At 47.6% G+C, this 27,616-nt stretch overlaps 1 protein-coding gene across 4 annotated transcripts, besides 2 other annotated features; it reads left to right on the top strand.

Annotated features, from left to right (window-relative positions):
* Positions 1-230: 230 nt before the first annotated feature.
* CIMIP4 (ciliary microtubule inner protein 4) lies at positions 231-16,957 on the top strand. Of its 4 annotated transcripts, XM_011530165.3 has the most exons (7): positions 231-353; positions 426-610; positions 4,057-4,116; positions 5,779-6,245; positions 8,098-8,242; positions 16,491-16,601; positions 16,806-16,957. In XM_011530165.3, the coding sequence occupies exons 3-7, from the start codon at positions 4,095-4,097 to the stop codon at positions 16,901-16,903; spliced, it is 843 nt and encodes a 280-aa protein (XP_011528467.1). In that variant the 5' UTR covers positions 231-353; positions 426-610; positions 4,057-4,094; the 3' UTR covers positions 16,904-16,957. The 4 variants fall into 4 exon arrangements, with proteins under 4 accessions (XP_011528467.1, NP_848647.1, NP_001157329.1 ...); NM_178552.4 differs by lacking the exon at positions 426-610 and having other exon boundaries at positions 5,798-6,245; NM_001163857.2 differs by lacking the exon at positions 426-610.
* Positions 25,418-26,017: a transcriptional cis regulatory region, noted in NCBI's record as "candidate enhancer chr22.1657 targeted for multiplex CRISPR interference". NCBI's record gives its function as "positively regulates LGALS1, MPST and TST gene expression in K562 cells {active_cell/tissue: K562}" and the evidence as "EXISTENCE:mutant phenotype evidence [ECO:0000015][PMID:30612741]".
* Positions 27,033-27,360: a transcriptional cis regulatory region, noted in NCBI's record as "candidate enhancer chr22.1656 targeted for multiplex CRISPR interference". NCBI's record gives its function as "positively regulates MPST gene expression in K562 cells {active_cell/tissue: K562}" and the evidence as "EXISTENCE:mutant phenotype evidence [ECO:0000015][PMID:30612741]".

Below are 27,616 nucleotides of genomic sequence, written 5' to 3'. Positions count from 1 at the left end.
TGAGCCCCCTGTGCCTGGCACACCTGGCATGTAGTGGGGGCTCAACTGACATTCTAGAGTGGATGAGAGAGTGAACAATAATTGAAGCCCCTCCTGCCTTTTCCTGGCCTCAATCCTGGCTTTCTCCTGGCCTCTTTTCCCTACGGGTGGGCCTATCAGCCCTCTGAGGTAACAGAGCCCTGTGTATAGTGATCACCATGGCAACTCCAATGAACATCTTGGGGAGGGCCACTTCCCAGCAACCATCCATTGGTCTTCACCAGTAGTTCTGCAGTGGGGATCTGCACTTCTGGGCTTCAGCACACATCAGTGTGGTTCACGTGTTTCCTGCTGTTATGAAAGAGATTGGAGAGGTGAGGCAGAGACTTATGAAGGGCCAGGGTTCTTCCAGGACATGGGGTTTCATCTTCCTTCTCCCCATTCAGAGTTGCTTGTGAGTGAAGACTGCCTAGACTGGACTTACCTTCCCGCCCTCTTTGACCAAAGTCTCTTGGGATCTCTCTCTCTGGGTCAGAAACTGGAAGTGAGTCCACACTTCCATTGTAGCCCGTCCAGACTGCTGTGGACTGGCAGTGCACTGGGACGTACAGAGCTGCCGTGGGCACGTCAGGTTGGTGGCTGGGGATAGGAGGAGAAAGAAAACTTGGAGCTAACTTGAACTTCACCTAGCTTGAAGATGTGCAATTTAATTTTAGCCCCACCTGGTGAAGTCCTGTGTCTTTTCGGAGCCTCATTTTCTCCATCTGTGAAAGAAGATAAATTAGTAGTGTCTCCGAACACCTTACTGGGTATTTGTGAAGACCAGACTAATTTACCAGATGTGAGAATGCTTGACATGGACTTGTGTTAGTTATCTCTTGCTGCACAACAAATCACCCCAAAACTTAGTGGGCTTAAGACAACATTTACTATCTCACAGTTTCTGTGAGTTGGGAATACCGGTGGAGTGTTGGTGATTTTTCTGTCCCAGGGTCTCTCACAGGCTGCAATCAAGGTGTTGCTTGGGTCTCTAGTCTCATCTCAAAGCTCGACCAGAGAAGGAACCCATTCACATGGCAGGATCCAGCTACTCTGGAGCTGTTGGCAAGAGGCCACTCTGAGTTCCTTGCCCTGTGGACCTCTCCATAGGGCATCTCACAACAGGGAAACTGGCTTCTGTCAGAGAAGATGAGCTGAGGAGAGCTGCAGAGAGTGTGTGAAAAAGACAGAAGTTGTAGTCTCTTATAAGTTCATCATGGATGCAACATCCCTCATTTTTGCCACATTCCATTCATCACTATGTCCAGTCCACACCAAAGGGGAGAGAATTATACCAAGAAACAGGGATCATTGGGAGCCATGTCAACTGCCTGCCACTCTCTGCCCTCTGGCCCCCAATAATGTACATCCCTTCCACATGCAAAATATAGTCATCCCCTCCTAAGATCTTTAAAATTCTCATCCTATTAAAGCATCAGTTTAAAAGCTAGAATCTGGTCATATAAATCAGCTCCAGGTGTGGCTGAGGCTCCTCCAGTGTCGTTCCTTAAGTACAGCTTCTCAGATTCAATTCTTCCCCATCATAGATCTGTGAAACTAAGTAATTTGCCCTGAACACACCTAACATACAGTGATGTGATAGGCATAGGATAAGAACTAGTGACATTCCTATTCAAAATTGAGGAAAATGGAGACATGGAGTCAATGTTCCATAGCGGTTTTGAAATCCAGCCACACAAATGTTGGACATTCCTTGATTAGGTTTCAAGGCCTGGGGATAATTCTCCATGGCTCTCAGCTCTGCCTTCTGGACTCTTGCATCCACTCTCTGACTTGTCTTTTTTATTTTTATTTTTTGTTCAATGGTATCTTTTCATTTTGTACTGTCTCTATCCCTTTTACCCGAAGTTGCCAACATTTTGCTGATGTTATTTTCTCAACAGTAAAACTTACAGGGGTTCACTCCATTGAACAAAAGTCACACCCCTTTTTAACTGAGGCTCCTGTTGAGGAGCCTTAAGCTTCCTAGAGGTCCTATGGTTCTGTTAAGAGGATATATCAGGCATCTCTTTAATCTCTTTAAAGCACCCTTTGTTTGACAGAGTAATACCCTCATCCTTTGATCTTTCTGAAGTTTTAACAACAGGTCGCACAGTCACACTCCTGGGCACACTTTCCAGACAGCCTTCTGAAGCTATTTCTTAATTTTAGCATCTTTTGGGATCTGGAAAGGATGAGACTTCAGAACCATTAAGTACTGGCATCTTTTTGTTTAACAGTCCCTTCTTCAATTCATCACCTTCCTCTCACATTTCACTACAAGCAGCAAGAAGAAAGTAAGAGGCAACTACCATCTTTTCTTTGGAACTCTTTAGCTAAATCATTCAGTTCATTAGTCACATAACTGCAGATGACAGTGTCACTGTTTCTGCCACTACATAACAAGGGTCTTTCTTCCACTATTTCTAGTAATATATTCCTCACTTCCATTTGGGCCCTCACTCACTGCATCTTCCAACTCCAGATTTCTGCTTAAAAAAAAAAAAAAACTGTTTAAGGTGATTTAGGCTTTTTCTATCATGCTTCTCAAAATCCTTATAGACTCTGACCACCGCTTGGTTCCAAGTTCAGTCCCAAATTTTTAAGTATTTGTTATAGCAACACCCCACTGTTAGTACCAAAATATGTATTAGCTATGTATTGCTGCGTAACAAATGACCATAAAGCTTAGAAGTTTGACACTGTATGTTTAAAACAGTACAAATTTATGATCTCAGAACTTATAGGAGTCAGGATGCTCACTTGGCTGGGTCCTCTGGCCCAGGGTATCCCACAGGCTGTAATGAAAGTGTCATCCAGGCTGTGTTCTCATATCAAGGCTCAACTGGGGAAGGATCCACTTTCAAGCTCATTCAGGTGTCAGGATTCATTCAGTTCTTCAAAGACTGTTGGACTCAGGGCTTCTATTCTTTATGAGCTTTTGGCCAGAAGTCACCCTCAGTTTCTTGCTCCATGGGCTGCTCCACAGGGCAGCTCAAAACACGGCATTTGCTGTCATCAGAATGAGCAAACCAAGGAGAACCAGGGAAAGAGAGCAAACAAAACCGAAGTCACAGGCCGGGCACGGTGGCTCACACCTGTAATCCCAGCACTTTGGGAGGCTGAGGCGGGTGGATCACTTGAGGCCAGGAGTTAGAGATCAGCCTGGCCAACATGGTGAAACCCTGTCTCTACTAAAAATACAAAAATTAGCCAGATGTGGTGGTGCACACCTGTAATCCCAGCTACTCAGGAGGCTGAGGTGGGAGAATTGCTTGAACTTGGGAGGTGGAGGTTGCAGTGAGCTGAGATTGCACTACTGTACTCCAGCCTGGGTGACAGAGTAAGACCCTGTCTCAAAAAAAAAAAAGAAAGATCACATAAGAAAACAAAACACAAGCACGAAAGCTGCAGAGGCTTTTGAATCTACCCCTCTAATTTGAATCCAAGGCCTTAGAGAGAAGACTGAGTTTACACCAGAGCAAAGTGTGGGTTCCTGCTCTTGGTTCTCCTTCGTGGTGGCTAAGCTGCTTCCCTTCCCTGAGCACGAACGACCATTCAGCAAATGGATACAATCCTATTTGCAGGAAGACAAATGGTTGCCAGGATGGGAGCCGGGGCAATGGGCTTCACAGCCAGGGGCCTGCTAGGGTCTCCTAGGGTGGTGGTGATGGGGCAGAAGAGGAGGAGGAGATGAAAGGAAAAATTATGAAGGAGTAAAATGAGCCCAGGGTTCCAAGGCTGCTTGAGATAGGTCTTTGAGGACTGGTGGGGTGGGGTGGGGGTGGCCAGGGCTTTTCAGAGAGGGCAGAGGCTGCAGAAGTCCAGGAGGCAGCCCCTGTGCCAGGGGTGATGAGTGAATGGGGCAGAGGCTCCGTGGGTCTGGGCAGTGCCAGAGGGCACCAGGGGCAGCTTAGGAACCTCTGATCAGGGGCGGGCAGACAGCCACAGGCCTTCCTGTTCAGCTCCCAGCTCATCCTTGTTCACAGAAACTCTGTGTGTTATCTGAGACGATGAAACGTGGTGCTTTGTTTACAGGACTAAGCTTGGAATTGCCTGTCCCACAGCAAGAGGCTATGGAGCTGGGCCACGGAGCAGGTAGGACAGGCAGACCAGGGATGTGCTGAATGCACATCCAGGCTTCTGGAGGGACTCCCTGGGGCAGCAGGGCACCGGCCCTTTCTCCTCCCGCTCCGTCTTGTGTTGGCCTCCAGACCCACCATCGGCCCAGGCTTCCTAGGGGGGCATTCTGTTGGAAGACAGAAGGAAAAAGGAGGGAACGGAATTACTGAGCCCTCCCATCCTGCCATGTGCAGGGATTATCACCCCGATATGGTCTCCATCCTGAGGGGGTGACTCAGGTGCTCTGAGTCTTGTGTGTACCAGAAGGGCAGGGCTGTGGGGGAACATGGTGAGGGGCCTGGCCTCAATGGATGGGAGGTATATATGGGGTTACACGTGAGCCAAGAGCAGGGGTAGTGTAGCCCAAGGAGTGGAGGGGAGTGTTCCAGGCAGGAGAAATAGCTCAGGCAAAGGCTTGGGAGGGAGAGACGGCTGGCACTTTTGTGGAGTCCCGAGAGCAGGCACTCTGCCCTGAGGACAAGAGGAAAGATTTTGATGCAGGCGTGACTGAGTCAGGCCCGCTCTGAGAATGGTCCCCAGGGGTGAGTGCAGGTTGGCTGGGGCTGGCAGGTGGGATGGGGAGAAGAGAGTCCAGTGAGTTGGGGCAGCGATCCTGCTAAAATCTTCCTCCAATGACCTGAATGCCCAGGGGCTTGTTAAACACTCAGATTCAGGGCCTTTCTGATGCAGCAGCTCTGAGAGGGTCCCAGGCATCTGTATTTTTAATGAGAGCCTAGGGAATCCTCATACATGGCCACATTTAGATAAACTCTGCGGAGGTTTATCATCCAGGGGATATGATGGTTTAGCTTGGGCTCAGAGGCCTGACGGCCAAGATGCCCAGCCCTTATGTATCTTTTAAGAGGACTTGAAGTTTTGGAGGGAAGACCACCAAACATATTTACAGCTGTAATCTGGGGTGGAGGATGAGGCCAGGCTGTGAGGAGACACTGAAGGCTGAGAGCAAGAGACCTAGAGAAGCGGAGGCTGTGGGCAGGGACGTGGGAGACAGGGAGAGGCGGGGAGGAGAGAGCCTGGGAGGTGGCTGGGATGGTGCCACTTCTCAGCCCTGGCGAAGGGAGGAGGTAGGTATTGGGGAGCAGTCTTGCATTGGAAGCAAAGTCTGGAAGTCCCATCCAACTCCAGTACTTCCCAGGCATGTGGCTTAGCCCCAGGAACGCCTCTGCCAGTGCCGCTGCTGCCAGATTCTCACTGCGGAGAGTGAGGGGGAGGTTTCAAGATGGAAAAGTGGGGAAGGGAACTATCCAAATGGAGCCAGGGACATGAAAGCACAGACAGGCCAAGTCCCTTGCTTGCGGTCACACAGCTAGGCCTCAAGGCGGGACAGGCTTAGGCGGCAGCCCTTGTTGCCCCAGGCAATGTGGACTAACCCTGCCCGTGGGAGGCACGCAGGCTGGCCTCTCTTCTCCCATTGTGTCTCCTAATTTCCCACCCATGCCTCTGGTTCCTGCGCTTCCTCTCCGTCCCTCTCCCCTTCTCTGGCTGTGGAGCTCTGGGGCTCTTTGTCTGTCCGTTTCCCCTCCTCACCCCCATCTCTGCCCCCTCCCCACCCTCTACTTTCTGCCCTTGTCTGCGTGTCTCTCTCCCTCCCCCTCTGTTTCTCTTTGTCCTGCTCAGGTACAACCACTTTCACCAGGGCCCATCTGAATGACAAGGAGGGCCAACAGGACTTGGACCCCTGGAAAGCGGCCTACAGTTCCTTGGACACCTCCAAGTTCAAGAACCAGGGTCTGTCATCCCCACAGCCCCTGCCCCTGGGAGCCAGCGCTCAAGGCAGCTCCCTAGGGCAGTGCCACTTGAAGGAGATTCCCCCTCCACCCCCGACTGCTGCCAGCAGGGATTCTCTGGGCATGGACCCACAGTCCAGGTCCCTGAAGAATGCGGGCTCTCGATCCTCCTCGAGAGAGAACAGGGCCACCTCGGGAGAGGGGGCTCAGCCATGCCAGGGGACGGATGACGGTCCCAGCTTGGGGGCTCAGGACCAGAGGAGCACGCCCACGAACCAGAAGGGCAGCATCATTCCTAACAACATTCGCCACAAGTTTGGGAGCAATGTGGTGGACCAGCTGGTCTCCGAGGAGCAGGTGTCATAGCAGGGGCCAGGAGGGTGATGCAGAGTCTTATAATGAGGACATAAGATAAACTCACTCTTGAGTACAGAGTCCCTATAATAATACCACTAGAAAGCAGTATCTCCTGAGCATCTGCTGTGTGCCAAACACTGTGCACTGTTTAAACTTCACATATAACAAGTTGTTACATCTTCCCAGCAACCCATGAGGAAGGTACTATTATTGTCCTCATTTTATAGATAAGGAGACCGAGGCTTAGAGGAGTTAAGTCAGTCAACCAAATTCACCTAACTGTGCGAGACGAGGGTGCAAACTGGGTCGGCAGATTCTGGAACTCTGATCCTTAATGACTTTGCAGTTAAAAGCCTTTTGTGTGAATTGGATGTTTTCCATGTGATCAAGTCTCCCAAAGAAGACAGCATTTAGTGGATGGATAGCATTTATTGGGAATCAGAAGACGTGCGTTTGAATCCTGGACCTGATCCTAAATGCTGGATGACTTTGGATAAGTTACTTACCCTCTCTGGGCTTCAGTCTCCACATCTGTAAAGCGAGGCAGTTGCACTAGATCAGGCTGACAAATACATGGTGAGCGTATCACAACCCTCCCAGCCTGCATTCATGGCAGACATCACTAGTCAATGCCAGCACTCTTTTCCACCCGATATAGCATTCCAGGCAGTCATTACAAATCAACTGACACGAGATAAAATTCATCTACCGTTTCTGGTCAAATGCTATGTTCTTTCTGTCCTGGCATTCTGAGACATATTTTTAAAGCCACCATCTCAACCCTCATAGCAACTGCATTGTGTGGAAGGTCAGGCAGGAGTTATTGCTTCCTTTATAACAGATAGTATAACCAAGTCCCAAGGAGGGGCTACGATCTGCTTGGGTCACAAAAGCTGGGGGTCAGGCTTCTCCTAGGCTCCCCTTCCACTCTGTCATCTTAAAGTGCAGTGACCCCACCACCAGCAAGTCTGGAAGGTCACAGTCTTGACATGTTCTGCCCCACTTGGAGGAACTTGTCCCAATTTGAGGTTGACTCTGTGGTCACCACCTCTCACCACCCTGCCCAGCCTTGGGAGAAGTCCTTTCTCTCTTCAGCCACCGTTGTCCCTGGCTGGAATCAAGAAATCCGTGTTTTCTGCCCATCTGTAACTTATGTCACAAGTGTCATTGAGCCAGCAAGTGTCAGAGCTGGAAGCCACTTCAAAGACCATCCAGTTCCACCCTGCCTTCACATTTTACATGTAGGGAAACTGAGGCCTAGAGTGGAGAAGAGGCTTGCTGAAGTCAACAGCTGATATATTGCAGAACTGGAACTCAAACCTAGGTGTCCTGCCCCTGGACCTGGGCTCAGCTTCTCTGTGTGTCAGTTTCCCTATTGGTATGAAGAGGGAGTTGGCCTCATTGAAAGTTAAGCACCCACCCAGAGCTGCCCTGTGTGGTGCCTCAGTTGTAGGAGGCAAGCCAGGGCTCTGTGCCCTGCCAGCCATGTGAACTGGGTGATCTTTGGTCTCCTGAGGCCCGCTTTCCTCATTTATAAAATGGTGGGAAGAGTGGCACCCTATAGAGACCCCCCGTCCCAATGTTGCAGGTAGCAGATGCTCAATGCTTGGAAGAGGTTTTATGATCATTAACTTGATGCCCCCCACCCACAGCAGTGCAGATGATGAGAGGAGTTGGGGCTGGGGCCTTTGTATACCCCAGCTCCCCAGCCCTGTGAATAGGTTGAGGGCTGCAGGCTACAGGTGGGATCGGGGTGGGGAGGGCAGGGTCAAGGGAGGAGGAGTTGGAGGGAGATATGGGGCTTGAAACTGCTTTTCCATCCCCTGTCTGTCATCCCTGCCTCCCTGCTCAGGCTCAAAAGGCTATTGATGAAGTCTTCGAGGGCCAGAAAAGGGCAAGCTCATGGCCCAGCAGGACCCAGAATCCTGTGGAAATCTCCTCCGTCTTCTCAGACTACTATGACCTCGGCTACAACATGCGGTCAAACTTGTTTCGAGGTCAAGTCAAAGGGCAAGGGTGGGGCCGTGAACACCCATGGTCTCCCAGGCATTGGGCAGGGAAGGCCTTTGGGGTTTCCACTCCATATGGGGTCTAGGACCCCAGGGCACATCTTCAAGGACACTTATTTCATGCCCATGTGTCCTCTATGTCAGCTTGCGAGTGCTGGGAACATCCAGTCCCCTGTCCTTGATGTGTGGATGATTCATCCCAGTTGGCAGTCAGGCACCTCTGGTCCCTCCCCTCCCATCCCCCCCTCCCCTCCCCTCCCCCCTCCCCTCCCCTTCTCTCCCCTCCCCTCCCCTCCCCTCCCCTCCCCTTCCCTTTCCTTCCCTTCTTTTGTTTTTTGAAGTCTCACTCTGTTGCCCAGGCTGGGGTGCAGTGGCACAATCTTGGCTCACTGAAATCACCACCTCACAGGCTCAAGAAAGCAACCCTCCCACCTCAGCTACCCCCCTGCCCCCATAAGTAGCTGGGACCACAGATGCGCGCCACCATACCTGGCTAATTTTTTTCTTTTCTGTTTTTTTTTTTTTGTATTTTTGCTAGAGGCAAGGTTTCACCATATTGCCCAGGCTGGTCTCAAACTCCTGGGCTCAAGTGATTCACCCACCTTGGCCTCTCAAAGTGCTGGGATTACAGGCATGAGTCACTGCGCCCTCCCCACCTCTTGTTCTTAATCTGCCAGTAGGAGGCCCAGGACCCAGTAGAACTGGGACTGCTGCTCCCCACACCCCTAGCCCCATCCCAGGCACCTTTGGTCACAGTGACAATATCAAGTTTCTTTGGTTCAAAGCTCAGCTCAGCCACTCACTAGCTGGGTATGACCTTAGGTGGGATCCTCAACCTCTGCAAGCCTCCGCTGCCTTCTCGGTACAGTGGGGATGATAATGAGAGTATGGCCCTTGCTGGGTCATTGGCAGGACTTTATGAAGTGCCACATGAAGGTGCTTGGCCGAGGCAAGTCGTGAGCACTCAGTAGCTGTCAGGCTATCATTTTTCTTCTCCAGAGCCTGGAGGTGGCGCCACCTGGGAAGAAAGGAAGGGTGGGTTGGAGGCTCTGACATTTACACAGGGTTTCCATTGGATCAGTGTAGTCCTGTTTGGTTGGGGTGGGGAGAGTGCTATTAGCTCCATTTCACGGGCAGATTTCAGATCATTTGCCTTAGAACTCTCAGTAGTCTGCATTGTGCCTAGGACTCAAAGTCAGGTGTTCCTTCTGCCTTCAAAGCCTCATAGTCTTTTCTTGACCACTAAGTCACCTCCCTAGCTATGATCCTGTTCCCAGGGTCTTCTGGATGGCTCAGATGCCTGTCACAGCACGCAGGGGCTTCTCTCTGCCCCACATTCTGGTTTGGCCTCATTGCAAAATGAGGCTGTTTCTGGTATGGCTCCTTCCTCTCTCCTCACTCCAGGCCCTCTCCAGTGCTCCCAGGGCCTGACAAACCTCTTCCACCTGGCTCGGATCCCTGTCACCTGAGGAACCAGGTGCCCACTGGAAGCCTTTCTGGAGTTTTCTCTGAGCTTGGAGAAGGGATGGTGTCAGGGAGGAAAGCGAGAATACAGTTCTGCTTGTTCTCTGTTCCGGGCCTTCCAGATCCTGCCTTCCAGTTCTCTCTTTAACAACTATCGGTCACCAAATAGCTATTCCATACAACTTTGTATGATAATGTCTACATAAATGTAAAATAATCTATTTTTAAAAATGTCCATGTCCCATCATCCCACCTGGGAAGTAGAACTGTGCCAAGGGTGTGCTGGAGCTCATAGCAAATTGCACCAGCTCACAAGAGGCAATTGTCTCTCTGAACTGACTGGCACATAAATGCTGTCTTAAAATTGGCCATGCTAGTAGTATTTACACTCTGGAAATTGGCAAACACTATGAATCAGGGCTTCACCCTGCCACACAGTGCTGTCAGTGTGCCCATCCATCTGTCCCTCTCTGTTTCCACCCACCCAGGGTTAGCCTTTATACTTGCTGTTTGAGGTTGGTGAGGCTGGTATGGCTGCACAGGAGTGAGGCAGAAGACATCAGAGGAAACAGGCTGGGTCGTGAAGCCTGCTGGAAGGTCTTTACTCGGAGTGAGATGAGAAACCAAGCCGGGATTTTAAGCAGGAGAATGGCCCTGTTTGGCTCAGGTTAAGGGCTCACTCCAGTTGCTATGGGGAGAATGGACATAGGGAGATGGGGCAGAAACAGGGAAACTGGTAGGAGGCAGCTGCAAAACTCCAGATGGGACAGATGATGGTGGCTTGGTGTTGGAAGCTGGGCTAGTGCACCTGCGCTATTTTGGAAGGCACCATTGTGCAATATAGCAGCTCAGGGAGGTAATGGTGAAGGTGGCCTGATGTAGTAGGATTCTGGATATTTGTATAAGGCAGAGAGAAAAGAATATGCTAATGAATAGATTTTGGGGTGAGAGAGGAATTAACGTTGACTTCAACGTTTTGACCTGAACAACTGGAAGGATGAGATGGCTATTTACTGAATTAGAGAAGCTGCCAGGGGGAGCAGGTTGAGGGACTCCTATCCTATGCTAAATCGTAGATCATCTTTTACACAGTCTTCTAAAATTTTTAGTTTTGCTTTTCACATTTAACTCTTTAATCCACCTGGGGTTGATTTTTGTTTTTAGTATGAAGTAGGGATTCATTTTCAAAAACTGTAGATGGCTTTTGTGAGTTTTAGCCATTTAAGAAAGTAGTAAAACTGAGGCTTGAGGAAACTTTAGGCAGCTTGCCCAGCTGTATAAAGAGTGAGATGACGAGCTCAGGCATTCCTTGGGCATCTGTGTGCCCAGCCCTCAAAATAATGGAACAACAACACCAGAAATCTTTCCCCAGTAGGGATTCATTTTCAATTCCTTCTTTATGTGGGTTACTGACTGCCTCAGTACCTTTTATTGAATAGGCTCATCTTTCCTCCCGGTGACCTGCAGTGGTACTTCTGTTATCCATCAGGTTTTGACACATGCATAGATCAGTTTCAGGCTCTATTCTGTCCATTGGTCTAATATTACATTTTTAATCACCAAAGTATTATAAGTAGCCTGATATCTGGTCAGGCAATACTCCCACTACCACCCCTCCACCACCATCACCAGTTAATGTCTTGGGTTTCTAGGCCCTTTACTCTCCCATACAAATGTTATTAATAAACAGAAATTTCCATGAAAAACCCTGTTGGGATTTTGATTGGAAATACATTGAATCTACAGCTCAATTTAAGGGCTGTTGTCAGCTTTATAATGAATTTTCTAATATATGAATATGGTATATACCTCCATTAATTTAAGTCTTCCTTCGATATCTCTCAGTAACATTTTGTGATTTTTTTTTTTCTATAAACATCATGCAGGTTTTTTTGTTAGACTTACTCAGGAGAATCTCTTTTTTTGCTGCTGTTGAAAATGATATCTTTTTAAAATTATATTTTCTAACTTTGCTGCTGATACCGTATACACAAATGCAATTTTTGTTTTTGTATATTAATCTCGTATCCAGAAGCTTTATGCAGCTCACCAATTAATTCCAGTAATTAGTTATTGATTCTTTAGGAGTGCTTTTGAATAGTAATAATGGCTACATTTATGCATAGTATTTAACATATGCCAGGTACTGCTCTGAGTACTTTATATATATATTTTATTCTGCACATGAATCCCATGTGGTAAATGCTACAATTCCCATTTTTTTTTCCAGATAAAAAATAATTGAGTCATGGAAAAGTTAAATAACTTAATTAAGGCCACACAGATAGGGACGGTCAGAATTGGGATTTAAACCCTGCCAGTCAGAGGCTAGAGTTTAAATTCCTAAACACTAGGCTTTTCTTACCTTTATATCAGCATCTGGCTGACCTCTCTAGGACAATGGTGTCTATAAGCAGGAAAAACAGGCATCCTTATCTCCTTCTTGATTCTAACATTACATCATTAAATATAATATAGTCTGTTTTCATACTGCTGATAAAAACATACCTGAGACTGGGTAATTTATAAAGAAAAAGAGGTTTAATAGACTCACAGTTCCATGTAGCTGGGGAGGCCTCACATCATGGTGGAAGGTGAAAGGCACGTCTTACACGGTGGCCGACAAGAGAGAATGGGAACCAAGTGAAAGAAGTTTCCCCTTATAAAGCCATCAGATCTCATGAAATTTATTCACTACCATGGAAACAGCATGGGGGAAAATGGAGCTGGCTCTGGGTCTTAGTCTGGCTTTGGGTGTCCTGAGAGTTTGGTGAACTTCATGTGGGGAGAGTATTGGCATGGCCGTGAGTCCTGGGTGTATAGGCTTCCCACAGACAGGGCTGCGGGGGAACCATGTGGGATGGCCTGCAGGAATATGGCCACGGTGAGTGGCCCTTTGTGTATTTTCTGCCTCCCAACTCACCGTGGCTCCAGCTTCAGAAGGAGGTCAGAGCAGAACACCCCTGTGGGCTAACATGAAGGTCCTCATCTGCTCCATGCAGCAGGGCTGGGAGGGGAGAGTAGAGGGTCAGCCCATGGTAAGGACAAGCCACATACAAATCAAAACCTTGGCTGGGCTCACCTGGACATTGTGTCTTTGAGTCACAGAGCAGGCAGAATGGTAGCTTACGTCCTGTCCTTTTCCCTCTGTGTCCAGGTATCCAGGGATCCCTGAACCAGCTTACCAAGGATTTTCTTTTTTTCACTTCTTTCCATTGTTGGAATTCTGATTTCCTCTATTTGGTGTCTTCCTCTTTCTTGGTTTGCTCTCTTGTCTTTGGGGTGGATTCCATCTCCCAGCTTGATGTGACTGTCATTGGAGAACACAGCCCTGTAATGATTTCAATCCTTTGAAATTGTTCAGATTTGCTTTAGAGCCCAGTAGATGGTGATTTTTGTAGATGATCTGTGTGTGCTTAAGAATAATCTCTCCAGGCCGGGCGCAGTGGCTCACGCCTGTAATCCCAGCACTTTGGGAGGCCGAGGCGGGTGGATCATGAGGTCAGGAGATCGAGACCATCCTGGCTAACAAGGTGAAACCCCGTCTCTACTAAAAATACAAAAAATTAGCCGGGCGCGGTGGCGGGCGCCTGTAGTCCCAGCTACTCGGGAGGCTGAGGCAGGAGAATGGCGTGAACCCGGGAAGCGGAGCTTGCAGTGAGCCGAGATTGCGCCACTGCACACCAGCCTGGTGACAGAGCAAGACTCCATCTCAAAAAAAAAAAAAAAAAAATCTCAGGAGGCGGAGCCAGGCAGATCACAAGGTCAAGAGATCGAGATCATCCTGGCCAATATGGTGAAACCCTATATCTACTAAAAATACAAAAATTAGCTGGCATGATGGCGCATGTCTCTACTAAAAATACAAAAATTAGCTAGGCGTGATGGCGCACGCCTGTAATGGCTTCTCAGGAGGCTGAGGCAGAAGAATCGCTTGAACCCGGGAGGCGGAGGTAGGCGGAGGTTATAGTGAGCGGAGATCGCGCCACTGCACTCCAGCCTGGTGACAGAGCAAGACTCCCTCTCAAAATAATGATAATAATAATAATAATAACAATCTCTTGGGTAAGGGATTCTGCATTTGTCTATAGAACAGGCTTGTTAATAATTTCTGCACAAATCTTCTAATCCTTATTAATATGCTTTGCTTGATCTATTAGTTACTAAAATATGTGTCTTTAAATCTCCCTCTATAATAGCAGCTTTGTCCATTTGTCCTGTGGTTCTGTCAATTTTGCCTTATCTATTTTGAGATTATTTCAATGTAGCAAGTTCAGAATCATTACATTACCTTAATGAATTGCAATTGTTTTTGTTTTTCATCGTGCCGTTGCCCTACAGTCTATTTCACCTGATATAGTTAGACCAGACTGCTTTTGGTTAGTGTTTGCCTGGGTATATCTTTTTCTGTTCTTCCATGTTTATCCTCTCTTTGTGTCCTTTTAAATATGCCTTCAATGATACATACCTGGAAAACATTTTCTGTAGTGTCATCATCTGGTTTTTAACGAATGGGTTTAATTCGTTCATATTGATTCTCGTTACTGATATAGACTATTTGGGTTTATTTCCATGATCTTATTTTTCGTTTTCTATTTGTGCTGCTTTTTCTTTTCTTTTCTTTTCTTTTTTTTTGAGATGGAGTCTCACTCTGTTGCCCAGGCTGGAGTGCAGTGGCGCGCTCTCAGCTCACTGCAAGCTCCGCCTCCTGGGTTCACGCCATTCTCCTGCCTCAGCCTCCCAAGTAGCTGAGACTACAGGCGCCTGCCACAACGCCCGGCTAATTTTTTTTTTTGTATTTTTAGTAGAGACGGGGTTTCACCGTGTTAGCCAGGATGGTGTGCTGCTTTTTCTTTGTGGCTTCTTTTTCTCTCTCTTTTTGGATTTACATCAGCTTTCTTATTTTTCTCAATCTGATATTTGTTCTTTTCTACTCCTCTTATTCTTTGAGTGGTTACCTTTGACATTTTTATATGCGTAATTAACAAATTATAAAGTTAATCTAGGCATTTGTGTTTTCCTGAACACTAAGGGCCTTAGAAGGCTTTAACTTTGGCTGGGCGCCGTGGCTCACACCTGTAACCCCAGCACTTTGGGAGGCCGAGATGGGCGGATCACAAGGTCAAGAGATCCAGACCATCCTGGCTAACATGGTGAAACCCCGTCTCTACTAAAAATACAAAAATTAGCTGGGTGTGGTGGCGCATGCCTGTAATCCCAGCTACTCAGGAGGCTGAGGCAGGAGAGTAGATTGAACCTGGGAGATGGAGGTTGCAGTGAGCCAAGATTGAGCCACAGCACTCCAGCCTGGAGACAGAGCGAGACTCCGTCTCAAAAAAAAAAAAAAGAAAAAAAAAACTTTAATTAACTTTAATTACTCTCCCGACCTCCACCTCAGCTTACATGTTATTATTTTATAGAATTTATATATGTATTATATATAGGATTTAGATATATGTATATATAGAATTTATATATATATTCTCGGCCTCCCAAAGTGCTGGGATTACAGGCGTGAGCCACCGCGCCCAGCCCACATCTTTTTATTTCTTTGTATTGCATCCTAATATTAATTTCTTTAGGTATATCTTCCAGTTTACCATTTTCTCTCAGCTTTATTTGATCTGCTATTTTATCTGTTAATTGAATTTCTTTTTAAACTTTTATGATGGCAATTTTCAAGCTTATGGAAAAGAAGAGAACTTAGTTTATAAATAGATGTTGCATATACCACTCAGCCTCAACAATGATTAATACATAGCCGATCTTGTCTCATCTTTTCTCCCACCCATCCACTCCCACCCAAGATTATTTCAAAGCAAGTCCCAGGCATCTTATTGCCATGGAGTTTAATTTTTTTTCAATTATTATGTGTTTCATTTCTGAAATTCCGTTTGCTTCTCTTACTAATCTATCTGCTCTTTCTGGATGGTTTCTTACTCTTTGCTTATATTTTTATTCTCTCTTATGGTTTCAATCATTAAATATAGGTTTTTTGTTTGTTTGTTTGTTTGTTTGAGACAGAGTCTCTCTCTGTTGCCCAGGCTGGACTGCAGTGGCACGATCTCGGCTCACTGCAACCTCCGCCTCCCGGGTTCAAGCAATTCTCCTACCTCAGCCTCCTGAGTAGCTGGGATTACAGGAGCCCGCCACCACGCCCAGCTAATTTTTGTATTTTTAGTAGAGACGGGGTTTCACCATGTTGGTCAGGCTGGTCTCGAACCCCTGACCTCGTGATCCACCCGCCTTGGCCTCCCAAAGTGCTGGGATTACAGGCGTGAGCCACTGCCCCCGGCCTAAATATACTTATTTTGTATTCTGTATCTGATCATTCAAATCTTTGCTAATTTGGGAGATTTTGTCCTTTGGTGTTTCTGCTGACTCTTGATCATTGCAACGTATCTGCTTGTGCATGTTTGAATTTTGAAAACAGAGATAAGTTTTCCTAAGTTACAGGTATTAGTTGCCACTTGCTAGATGTCTTGATGAATGTCCAATAATTTTGTCTTTCCAACCATGCAAAAAAATCTCATTTCTTGGTATAGTTGAAGACACTGAAGCTCAGAGAGGTTAAAAATTTCTCTGAGGCTATACTACCCATAAATAATGGAGTCTGGGTTTGAACCCAAACGACTTTACTTTGAAACCCTTCCCACTCTCCTTCCGTTCCACAATTTACCATCCGTAGAGGAAACTGACACCCAATATAAGCCATGGAGTACCCGACTGCCACTGAATTGGGCACTTGGGGTTTCTTCATGGTATTCTACAGGGGCTGCTGAGGAGACAAAGAGCCTCATGAAGGCTTCTTACACACCAGAGGTCATTGAGAAATCAGTGAGGGACTTAGAACACTGGCATGGCAGGAAGACGGATGATCTGGGTAAGTGAGGAGCTGCGGGTGATGGGAGGCAGGGACTGTCCTCCACCAGCAGGGTGTGTTGGCTCTAAGGGTCAGAGAGAAACCAGAGCAGGAGACAGAGCCGGGGTGGACTTGGAAGAGGTACGAGTCATCCCTGGGGTCTGGGCAACTCCAGAGACTGCCAGATGATCTAATCTGTGCTGGCTCTTCTCCTGCTCGCTGTAGGGCGGTGGCACCAGAAAAATGCTATGAACCTGAACTTGCAGAAAGCACTGGAAGAGAAATATGGAGAAAACAGCAAATCCAAGAGCTCCAAGTACTAGTTTTGACACAGTAGAGGTGTCTTCTACTCAAATAAAGTGCTAACAATAAGGAAAGGCTCAGGTCCGAGTCCTCCTGTGCTTGGTGCCTTTCTTCACACTGGAGTAGAGGCCGATATGTGGTGTTGGAGAGACCAACTGGGGGAAGATAGAAGCCCTGGGGTCCCAAACTATTCCCTAGTCCTCCCTCCTGCACACACATGCACACACACGTACCTTCATCCATTATCCCAGGAAAGGACATGAGAGCTGGGCATGACTCTGTCTCAAGCCCAGGGTGCCTGGCTTCTCCCACATGCCCTATGTGAGGGGGTCCTATAGTGGACACTGCTGGATCTTACCCTACATGCTCTTCCTAGAAGATGCCAATTATTCCCAGACATCCATTCCTCCCCCACGAGACACGGACTTCAGAGGAGTTGGCCACACACATTTCCTCCAATCTAGTGGCGGGTTTGATTGGTCTCATGGTGATTCTTTACCCCTACCCCAACCCCACCTCTTGCACGTGATTGGTTCAGTCATGCACATATGACTCAATTTGGGCCAATAAGATGCAAGGAAACGTGTGGATGCGTGCAGCCTTCTGGGAAATTCTTTTCTCAGCTGGGAATGCTGAGAGAGCATCCATCTTTCCTGATGTAATGAATGAGGAACCATGCAGCCCAGACCACTCCTGCCAGACACCTATGACCAGAGGAATTGCAGACCATGCAGCACATTCTGGGTCCTCCATGGCCTCGCAGAGCTGCTCCATCAACTTGGCCAGAAGCTGCCGGCCTCTGGACTTCCTGTAATGTGAGCCTGAGGTCTCCTCATTGTTTAAGGAGCCAAAAGCATCCTCAGACCATAGGGGCTTGGAGCCCCAGGGAAGAGTCCCCAGATAATGGGTTCTAGGTCAGACGGTTCTGTTTTCCAGTTGATCCTGAAGCTTTTCACCTGATGAGTCTCTAAGCCCGCAGCACACTCCACCCCGAGATCACTGACTTGCACCCTCAGACCGTGCTCTACCCATGGGTTATTTATTATTTGCTGTGTTCCAAAACACCACCAAAACTTGTGGGCTTAAAATGACATGATCCTTAATTTGCTCATGATTGAGCAATTTAGGCAGGGCTCAGGAGGTACGGCTCATTTCTGTTCTGTATAGCATCTGCTGTGAAGACGCCTGCTCCTCTCCCATGCCTAGTGCCTCAGCTGGGATGAGAACCACAGTGGGGGGCTGGCTGATCATCACTCTCTCTCATGGGACCTCTCTTCGTGGCTCACTTGAGCTTCTTTTGGAATGGGGACTAGGTTTCAAGAAGGAGCCGTCTCAGGGGACAAGATTCAATGTGCAATGGTTTATCAAGCCTTGCACTGGCTTGTCAATGTCCCTGTGGCCAAAGAGACATATGGCCAAGCCCAGACTTTGTGAGAGGGGACTACATAAGAGTATTACTGTATGCAGGAATGGTTCATTGGCGACCTCAAAATAATAGTTTGTCCTGGTGGTCATCTTGCTTTTGAAAGATCAAAAGCGAGAGGAAGAATCAAAATCACTACTGGGAGAAGAGGAGACATGTTCCTACTTCTCCCTCAACTGCCCCTCCTCCCACAAAAGGGAATGACTTACTTACTTTTTTTTCTTTGTCTTTTCTTTTTTTTTTTTTTTTGAGATGGAATCTGGCTCTGTTGTCCAGGCTGGAGTGCAGTGGTGTGATCTTGGCTCACTGTAACCTCCGCCTTCTGGGTTCAAGCTATTCTCCTGCCTCAGCCTCCCGAGTAGCTGGGATTACAGGAGTGCACCACCATGACCAGCTAATTTTTGTATTTTTAGTAGAGATGAGGTTTCACCATGTTGGCCAGGCTGGTCTTGAACTCCTGAGCTCAAGTGATCCACCCGCCTCAGCCTCCCAAAGTGCTGGGATTATAGGCGTGAGCCACCACGCCCGTCCAGGAATGACTTAAAGGTAGGGTTGGATCAGAATGCAATACAGGGAAGTGAATCTGACTTGATTTAATATTCATCAAATATCTAATTATGTGCAAAGTGCAGAGTTCAGTTCAACTTCTTTACTGGGTACCTAGTTTCTGCAAGACACTGTTCTGGGCACTGGAAACACTAGACTTTGTCTTCATCAACTACTATGTGCCCATCACATGTGACACCTGAAAAAATGAGCCACCCAAAGTCTTGTGGCTAAAGCAGACTCTGTGCTGTTCTGACATAGAAATGATAACGTGGCAAATGATTATGTGCCACATGGTTTATATACGGAACTGTATTTCATCCTTACACCAGTCCTCAGAGCTGTTATCACTCCCTTTATGAAGATGAGGAAACTGAGGCTTGGAGAGGCCAAGGAAATTGTACAAGATTATATGCATAGGAAGCTGGGGGTGCAAACCCAGGAATTTCTATCCAAAGTCACTTCTACTCTACCAGGCAATCGTACTGCAGTGTACGTAGTATGACAGTGCAGTGCCTAACAGGGCTGAGTGTTTGTGGTGCCTGTTGACGGAGCACCACAAACACTCAGCCCTATTAGGCACGGTGAAAACAGCAATATGAATGCAATACAATATGCAATATGCATATGCAATATGCAATACAGTCCAGACCTCAGAGCTTTGCAGTCTGCAGGAGATTGATGTGGAAGAAGCTGCCTTAGAGACTTATCTACCCATGATATGCCCCTGCCCAGCCCTGACCAATGAGCTGGACGTGCAAAAATAAATAAGACATGGCGCCTGTCCTCAAAGAGTTCAGAGTCTGGCGAGAAGACAAATACATCAGTACATAGATGCTCAGAAGTCTTACACATGCGGTGAGACGTTCACGTGGGGCCAGCAAAAGCACAAAGGAGAACGTGGTTAGCTCTGCCTGGGATGGGGTAGGGTGCCGGTCATATGGTAGGCTTCATAGAGGAGGTGGCTCTTGAGATGAATCATGGAACATGAATAAGGATGTTCAGGTGGACTGGAAGAGGCACAGCATTCCAGACAGAGGGCATGGTATGCATGAAACTGCAGCATGATGTATTTGGCAAGCTGCAGGTAGCTTGTTAAGCTTGGAAGGTAGGGCTCCAAGGAGGAACACAGAGGTGAGGTAGGAAACAGAGAGTCTATGCCTGGACCGGGCTGTCCTCTGTGAGGGCCTTACATTTGAGACTCAGACCTTCCTTCTAGGAATTTACAGTCTGGCTGGAACATAAAGAGTTAATGACTAAAGAAGCCACACGGAAGAGTTGAAAAGATGCTCATTATCCCCAATAATCAGAGATGCAAATGAAAACAATCCATCAGGTTGGCAAGAATTAAAACGCAAGTGTAGATGAGAATGAGGGAAATGGAAACTTTCGTACCCTTGATGAATTATGAGCCAAGAGCCGTGGGTGAGTATTTAGCAAAATTGAAATTATATCATACAACCTACAATTTCCATTTCTACACAGCCTAGACAAACCCTTGAACATGTATATAGGGAGTGCGTGCAAAGATCTCCATTGCAGCATAGTTTACAATAGGAAAACAACCTGGCAAGTATTAAAAGTTCTTGTTCTCAGCTGGGTGCAGTGGCTCATGCTTGTAATCCCAGCACTTTGGGAAGCTGAGGTGGGCACATCGTTTGTGGTCAGTGGTTTGAGAATAGCCTGGCCAATGTGGTGAAACCGTGTCTCTACTAAAAATTCAAAAAAATTAGCCAGACATGGTGGCAGGTGCCTGTAGTCCCAGCTACTTGGAGGCTGAGGCAGGAGAATCACTTGAACCCAGGAGGCGGAGGTTGCAGTGAGCCAAGATCGTGCCACTGGACTCCAGCCTGGGCAACTGAGTGAGACACCATCTCAAAAAAAAAAAAAAAAAAGTAAAACAACCTAAATGCACTTTAGCTGGACAATGGACAAATGGGATGATCTATGGCAGTGGAAAGAAATGAACCACATCTGCATGTATCAGCATAGGAAGATCTCACAATACATCATTGCGGGTGAAAATGACAATCTGCAGAACGACCCCTACAGCAGGAAATGTACTGTTGATGTAGCCTTCAAAAGGGACACACAAAACCAGTCCATTGCTTATGGGTATGAGTATGGAAGGTGAATGGGAAGGATGCCACAGAAATCCAACTTCACATTACATTTAATTTAGTGCTTTTCAGAAGCAGCTTTACAAGACAGAGCTGCCAAAATGCTTTCTGATGAGATAACTAAGATGCTAGCAAGAGTGTCTGAGAAACACAGTGTTGGTGAGCTGATCTAAAGTTAAGTGAGCAATTTCAATGTTGACATAAGGGAACAAATGTCTCATGTTTTATGACTTTGTCTCAGTTAAAGATTCATCCTCAGAAAGAGGAACCCTTTTTAATTAAACATTGAATGTTCTAGAGAGAGAAAAGCTGTAATCTTGGCAAAGTAAATAAAATATGCGTAGATTTTTTTTAACTTAAAGAAGGTCTTTTATTTCACTGGCGTGGTTCCCAATAGCATTCCTTGTTCTTCATGTTCCTGAGGTCCCTAGATAGCGGAATTCACAATGATTCTTAACTTTCAAGGAGGCACAGGGGCCAGGTAGTACGTAAGCATTAATTCATATAGTGAAAAAAATTGGTCACACTTCAATTCATGCAGGGCCTCATTTGCCCATTGTGACTCAAAACCATCTTCATAATTTCTGTAATATCCGTGTACCACTCAAGGGAACACCAATAAAATCAATTTAGGTTGCTTTAACCCAGGATACAGTAGATGAGCCTGCCATGGCTATAATCCCAGTCCAGATCGCCCCCTGGTGGCAGTATGTCCAAATTGCAGGCCCAGAGATTCGGAATCATAAGCCCACAATGTACATGCTGTGGAGGGACAGAGAGACCATTTAGTTACATCTTTCTAACCGTGCTTTCCTACTCCCACTCCAGTTCTATGTTATAGATGAGGAAACTGAGGCCACATTGAACACATTTATGCTTAAATTGCAAGAGAGGAGTTTATGTTGCCTGCTTTGCAAATCCAAACTCTCAATGATGTCAGAGTGGTAGGCTGATCTTTTTCCCATTCTCCCTCCCAGAATCATGGACTCTGTAATAAACAGGAACTAGAAGGAGCCACAGCAGAGGAAAATTCAAATGCAGGTTTGCTGTAGAAAGGCAACAAGAGACTCTAGCTAGGCTCGTGTTCTTGGGAAGACCACCTCGCTTGTCAGAGCCAGTTCTCATTTCTAGAGTACTAACAGAGGGACAGTTCCACCTCTTTCAGAGGCTATTGTGAAGATTACCTGAGAAAATGCATGCCATGTATCTGGCACAGAGCCAGTTATAGACACGCAATAAACACTTATGCTTTTCCTTCCTCAAGGCCCTGTTTCCTAAATATGTTTAAAAGAACTCTGTGGCATGTTAACAGATGTTCTATGAAAAATTATCCCATTGTCAAATAAATCAGGTTATGCTGGTTTACATAACACTATACAGATTGCTTTTGGGCAAGACTTCTCAGAACTTTGAACACGCTAAAATTGATTGCGTCACTCCATATTATTATACATAGTTTTCGCTGTTCCTCACTTCGCCTGGCACAGACAGAGAAAACTATGAACATCAGTTACAACGGCTGTGATTATGACAATGATTTTATTAAAATTGCAGGTTCAGAAGCCTGGGAGGTCAGCCGAGGAAGAGGAGTCCTGTTTTGGGGGGTGGTTAGATGGACTGATGTGTTAATCCAGATGCCCATTACCAATGCTCATGGAGAAATGTGCCTGCCAAAGGCCTGGCCACTTCCTTCCTCTGGCCCACACTGCACGCATCGCACTTGGGAAGCAGATAATCAGAGAAGGGAGTAAGCCTACTCTCAGGACAAGGGGTTGAGTTTCTTTCATTGCTGGCATTGCATGAATCAGTCTGAGTGAGGGCATCTTAGCCTCCCTGTGCTGCTGGCTTCCCTGGTTTACGACAAGCAAAAGGGGTTAGGTGACCTGTCCAGGGCAGTGGCAGGAGCCAGGCTTGGGCCCCTCCTATCCAAATCCCTTTTCAAGGGGCCAGTATATATATATATATATATATATTTTTTTTTTTTTTTTTTTTTTTTTTTTTTTGAGACAGAGTCTCACTCTGTCACCCAGGCTGGAGTGCAGTGGTGCAATCTCGGCTCACTGCAAACTCTGGCTCCTGTGTTCAAGCGATTCTCCTGCCTCAGCCTCCTGAGTAGCTAGGATTACAGGTGCATGCCACCATGCCTGGCTAGTTTTTGTATTTTTAGGAGAGATGGGTTTTCACCATGTTGCCCAGGCTAGTCTCGAACTCCTGAGCTCAGGCAATCCGCCTAACTTGGCATGCCAAAGTGCTGGGATTACAGGTGTGAGCTACCGTGTCTGGCCCCAGCAGACCAGTATTTACTGAGCACCTACTATACGCTGAGTGTTTGGCACCATGTGGGAGACAGAGATGAGTAGTCCTTGGCTCAGAGAGATGATAATATGAGACAAAGATGAAATTAATACAAGGTGGTGAAGGGTCAGGAGAGAGAGGGTGCAGCCTGGGGGATGGAAGTCAACTGCCTGGGGCTTCCAGGGTGGGAATTTAGAAGCTGGGGAGCATTGCTCCTGGCCCCAGGTGATTTGGGGTCAGCGTTACTAGAGCTTTGGAGCAGGTCAGGGTCCCATGCAGACTTCCTAGGGTAAAACATTCCAAGTCTCCAGAGGGAAGGGAATTGGTCACTGTGGGCCCTTTGGAGGTCAGAAATAAATAGTTCAGCTGCTCATTTGCTCCCCAAATGGTTCCCACAGCACATCCTCTCTGGCTGTCCCTAAACAAGCAAGCCCATTCTTTTGTGCAATCAATTCTGGGTGATTATAGGTTTCTTCCAGTCATCTTGACCTGTGACCCCCCTAAGGGATTTTCCCTAGATTTTGTTTTATATAATATTTATTTATTTAATTTTTTAAATATTTTTGTTGTTGTTGTTGAGACAAAGTCTCACTCCGTCACCCAGGCTGGAGTGCAGTGGTAAGATCTCAGCTCACTGCAACCTCCCGGGTTTAAGTAATTCTTGTGCCTCAGCCTCCTGAGTAGCTGGGACTATAGGTGTGCATCACTACATCTGGCTAGTTTTTGTATTTTTAGTAGAGATGGGGTTTTTACCACGTTGGCCAGGCTGGTCTCGAACTCCTGACCTCAAGTGATCCACCCATCTCAGCCTCCCAAAGTGCTGGATTACAAATGTAAGCCACTGTTCCTGGACTTCATATAAGATTTAGTTAGGTCTATTTACCTTACTCCCCAACCTTCTTGCAATGTCCAACACAGATAAGTTGATTCACCAAGGAGAGACCACATTTTCTCAGACTTAAGGGACTTGAACCACAGGGTGACCCCATTAAGAATAATAGCTAGCACTGAGAAAGCACTGTATACACATGAACTCACCTAGTCACCACAACACCCCTGCTAGGTAGGTACCTTTATTGTCCTCATTGCCTCATAGATCCAGAAATTGAGGCACAGAAAATTCTAGTGACTCCCCCAAGGTCACACAGCTAGTGTGTTGGAGCTGGAGTTTGAATCCAGGTGGTTTAACTTGGAGGTCCTCAACTTTAACCTCACCTAGGTCACGTTGCTCAGGGGAAGTACAAACTATGGTGGGCAAGGTTGAGGTCTAGAATACGTATGTAAAAAGTCCAGAGGAGAGGCCGGGTGCGGTGGCTTACGCCTGTAATTCTAGCACTTTGGGAGGCCGAGGGGGACGGATCACTTGAGGTCAGGAGTTTGAGACCAGCCTGGCCAATATAATGAAACCCCGACTCTACTAAAAATACAAAAATTAGCTGGGTGTGGTGGCGGGTGCCTGTAATCCCAGCTACTTGAGAGGCTGAGGCACGAGAATCACTTGAACCCAGGAGGCGGAGGTTGCAGGGAGCCGAGATCACACCACTGCACTCCAGCTTGGGTGATAGAGCAAGACTCAGTCTCAAACAAACAAACAAACAAACAAAAGTCCAGAGGAGGCAGTTTACATGGAGATTTTCATATTTGCTGCTAGTCATTAAATTCTTCCTAATTATGAAGCGGGAGAGATATTTTAAAGCTGGGTGAAGGAGAAGGAAAAGCTGCAGATGCATTTGGTAGGATTTGGGGAAAAGCCAGGCAACTTCTTCAAATAAATTAACCCGAGATAATTACAGGCTGACTTGAGGTCCACAGTCCAAGCAGGGCTTCTTGGACTGTAGACTTGAAGTCTTTATAACACTGTGCTCCCTCCCTGAGGAAGAACAAGAGGAAAAAGGCTGGGAGGTCTTTAGAGACCCCTATCTGCACCTCCCTGTTTAACAAATGGGGAAACTGAGGCCTGCATGGACAATAAAGTGAACTGTCAAGGTCCCAAAGCATGTGAGAGGAAGACACAGAATTGAGCTCAGGTGTTTCGGCTTCCTTTGGGGCACCCTCTCAGTGACCTTGCTGCCCTGGCTAATTCAATGCAGGGTGGCCAGAACCAGGACTCAGCTCTGGATGCCAGCTCAGCTGCCAAACAGCTGTGAGACCCTGGGCAAGAGGCCTCCTCTGAGCCTCAGTTTCCTCATTTGTAAACTGGGGATAGTCAGAGAATCTACCTTATGGGGCGGTTGTGAGGGTCTAGGGGCTCCTGGGATGAAGCGCCTGCCATAGTACCTGGCGTGGAAGAGGGGCTGGATAAGTGTGATTTAGCCTTAGTATATTTCCCACATACCTCAGCCACCCAGAAATGATCAGAAACAAAGAAAGGACAAAGGAGAAACCGTTTCAGTTTAGCCGCAGGAAAGCTGAGAAGGGAGATGAAGGATATCTGTAGGGACAGAAATTAGACCCTAGGGTGGAGTCTGGGCCGGGCTTTGCCTGCAGGGGGCAGATAAGCATATTACACATTGCCCAGCTGAGAATAAAAACCAAAGCCCCTCCAGAACAGTCCCTGGGGACCAAGCCACATGGCTGGGGAAGAGCCTCAGAGTTTGGGTTCCCTAAAAGCAGACCCCGGAACAAGGATTCCCATGCAAGGGTTTACTTGGGAACCCTCATGAGGAGATGCAGGGAGGGGAGTGGGGAAGAGAGAGAAAGAAGGAAGCCAATCAAATGTACACAACTGGCCGGGTAGGGCGGCTCACACCTGTAATCCCAGCACTTTGGGAGGCCGAGGCGGGCAGATCACCTGAGGTCAAGAGTTCGTGACCAGCTTGGCCAACATGGTGAAACTCTGTCTCTACTAAAAATTCAAAAATTAGCCAGGCGCGGTGGTGGGCGCCTGCAATCCCAGCTACTCGGGAGGCTGAGGTAGGAGAATCGCTTGAACTTGGGAGGCAGAGGTTGCAGTGAGCTGAGATCATGCCACTGCGCTCTAGCCTGGGAGACAGAGAGAGACTCCATCTCAAAAAAAAAAAAAAAAAAAAAAAAAGAAAGAAAGAAAGAAAGAAAAAAAAAGTACACGATGACGGAAATTACCCCTGGAACTTAACTCCCCCCAGGAACTCTAGGAAGCATGTAGAATCTGTAGAACCTCAGAGCTATCGGGGCGTTGGGGTAGGGCTGCCCCCATGGCAGGGGAGGGCTGCACCTCCTTGGCACTCGCAGCCTTGGGGCAGGCTCTGCTCCAGCGGCGGTGGCAGTAGCGTGTGTCCCTGTCATAGGAGGCCAGTGTGGGCGCTGGCGGCAGGAGTCAGGGGGAGCACCCTGAATGGTCCAGGTGGCAGAGTGGGTGTCAAAGGGAAACACAACCGACATGAGTGCAGGCAGTGGAAGTGGAGGCAGATTTGGTTCAGCAGGGGAAAGAGCTGAGCTCTGTTCCAGCTTCTGCAGAGGTGGCTGGGCAGACGTTTGAAAGAAAGAACGTGGGAGCTGGGAAGACAGCAGGCACTCAAGTGAACAGCGATGAGGGCTGGGCAGGGTCGGAGCCATCCCGCCAGTTGTGTCTATGTCTGCAAGCTGGCAATGATCTCAGCTGGGATTCAGTTCACCCAGAGACAGGGAGACAGAGGCCCTGTCCTTCCTGAGGATTCCATTTCAAAGGAACAACTTTCAGGCCGCTCCTGCGCTGTAGAAGATGCACACATATCTCAAAGGGACCAGGGAGGGATTCATCATCGTAAGCTGTTCTTAGGTTAATTTTCTAAGAAAGAGAGGCCAGGGCTGGTATAATTTGGGTATGTGTTTGTTGCCTCCCAAATCTCATGTTAAAATGTGATCCCCAATGTTGGAAGTGGGGCCTGGTGGGAGGCGTTTGGGTCATGGGGTGGGTCCCTCGTGGCTCGGTGCTGTTCCCGCAGTAGGAGTGAGTACTTGTGGGATCTGATTGGGTAACTGTGTGGCCCCTCCCCCCTCACTCTCTCGCTCCTGTTTTCATCATGTGACAGACATGCCTGCTCCCGCTTCGCCTTCTGCCATGAGTTAAAGTTCCCTGAGGCAGCTGGCTCATGACTGTAATCCCAGCACTTTGGGAGGCCGAGGCAGGTGGATCACGAGGTCCGGAGATCGAGACCATCCTGGCCAGCATGGTGAAACCCTGTCTCAACTAAAATACAAAAAAATTAGCCAGGCGTGGTGGCACGTGCCTGCAGTCCCAGCATCTCGGGAGGCTGAGGCAGGGGAATCGCTTGAACCTGGGGGCAGAGGTTGCAGTGAGCCGAGATCCTACCACTGCACTCCAGCCTAGCGACAGAGCAAGACTCCACCTCAAAAAAAAAAAAAAAAAAAAAAAGATTCCCTGAGGCTTC

This window comes from Homo sapiens, chromosome 22 (genome assembly GCF_000001405.40).
Source record: "Homo sapiens chromosome 22, GRCh38.p14 Primary Assembly".
NCBI lineage: Eukaryota > Metazoa > Chordata > Mammalia > Primates > Hominidae > Homo > Homo sapiens.
This window is presented reverse-complemented; position numbering and strand designations above follow the sequence as displayed.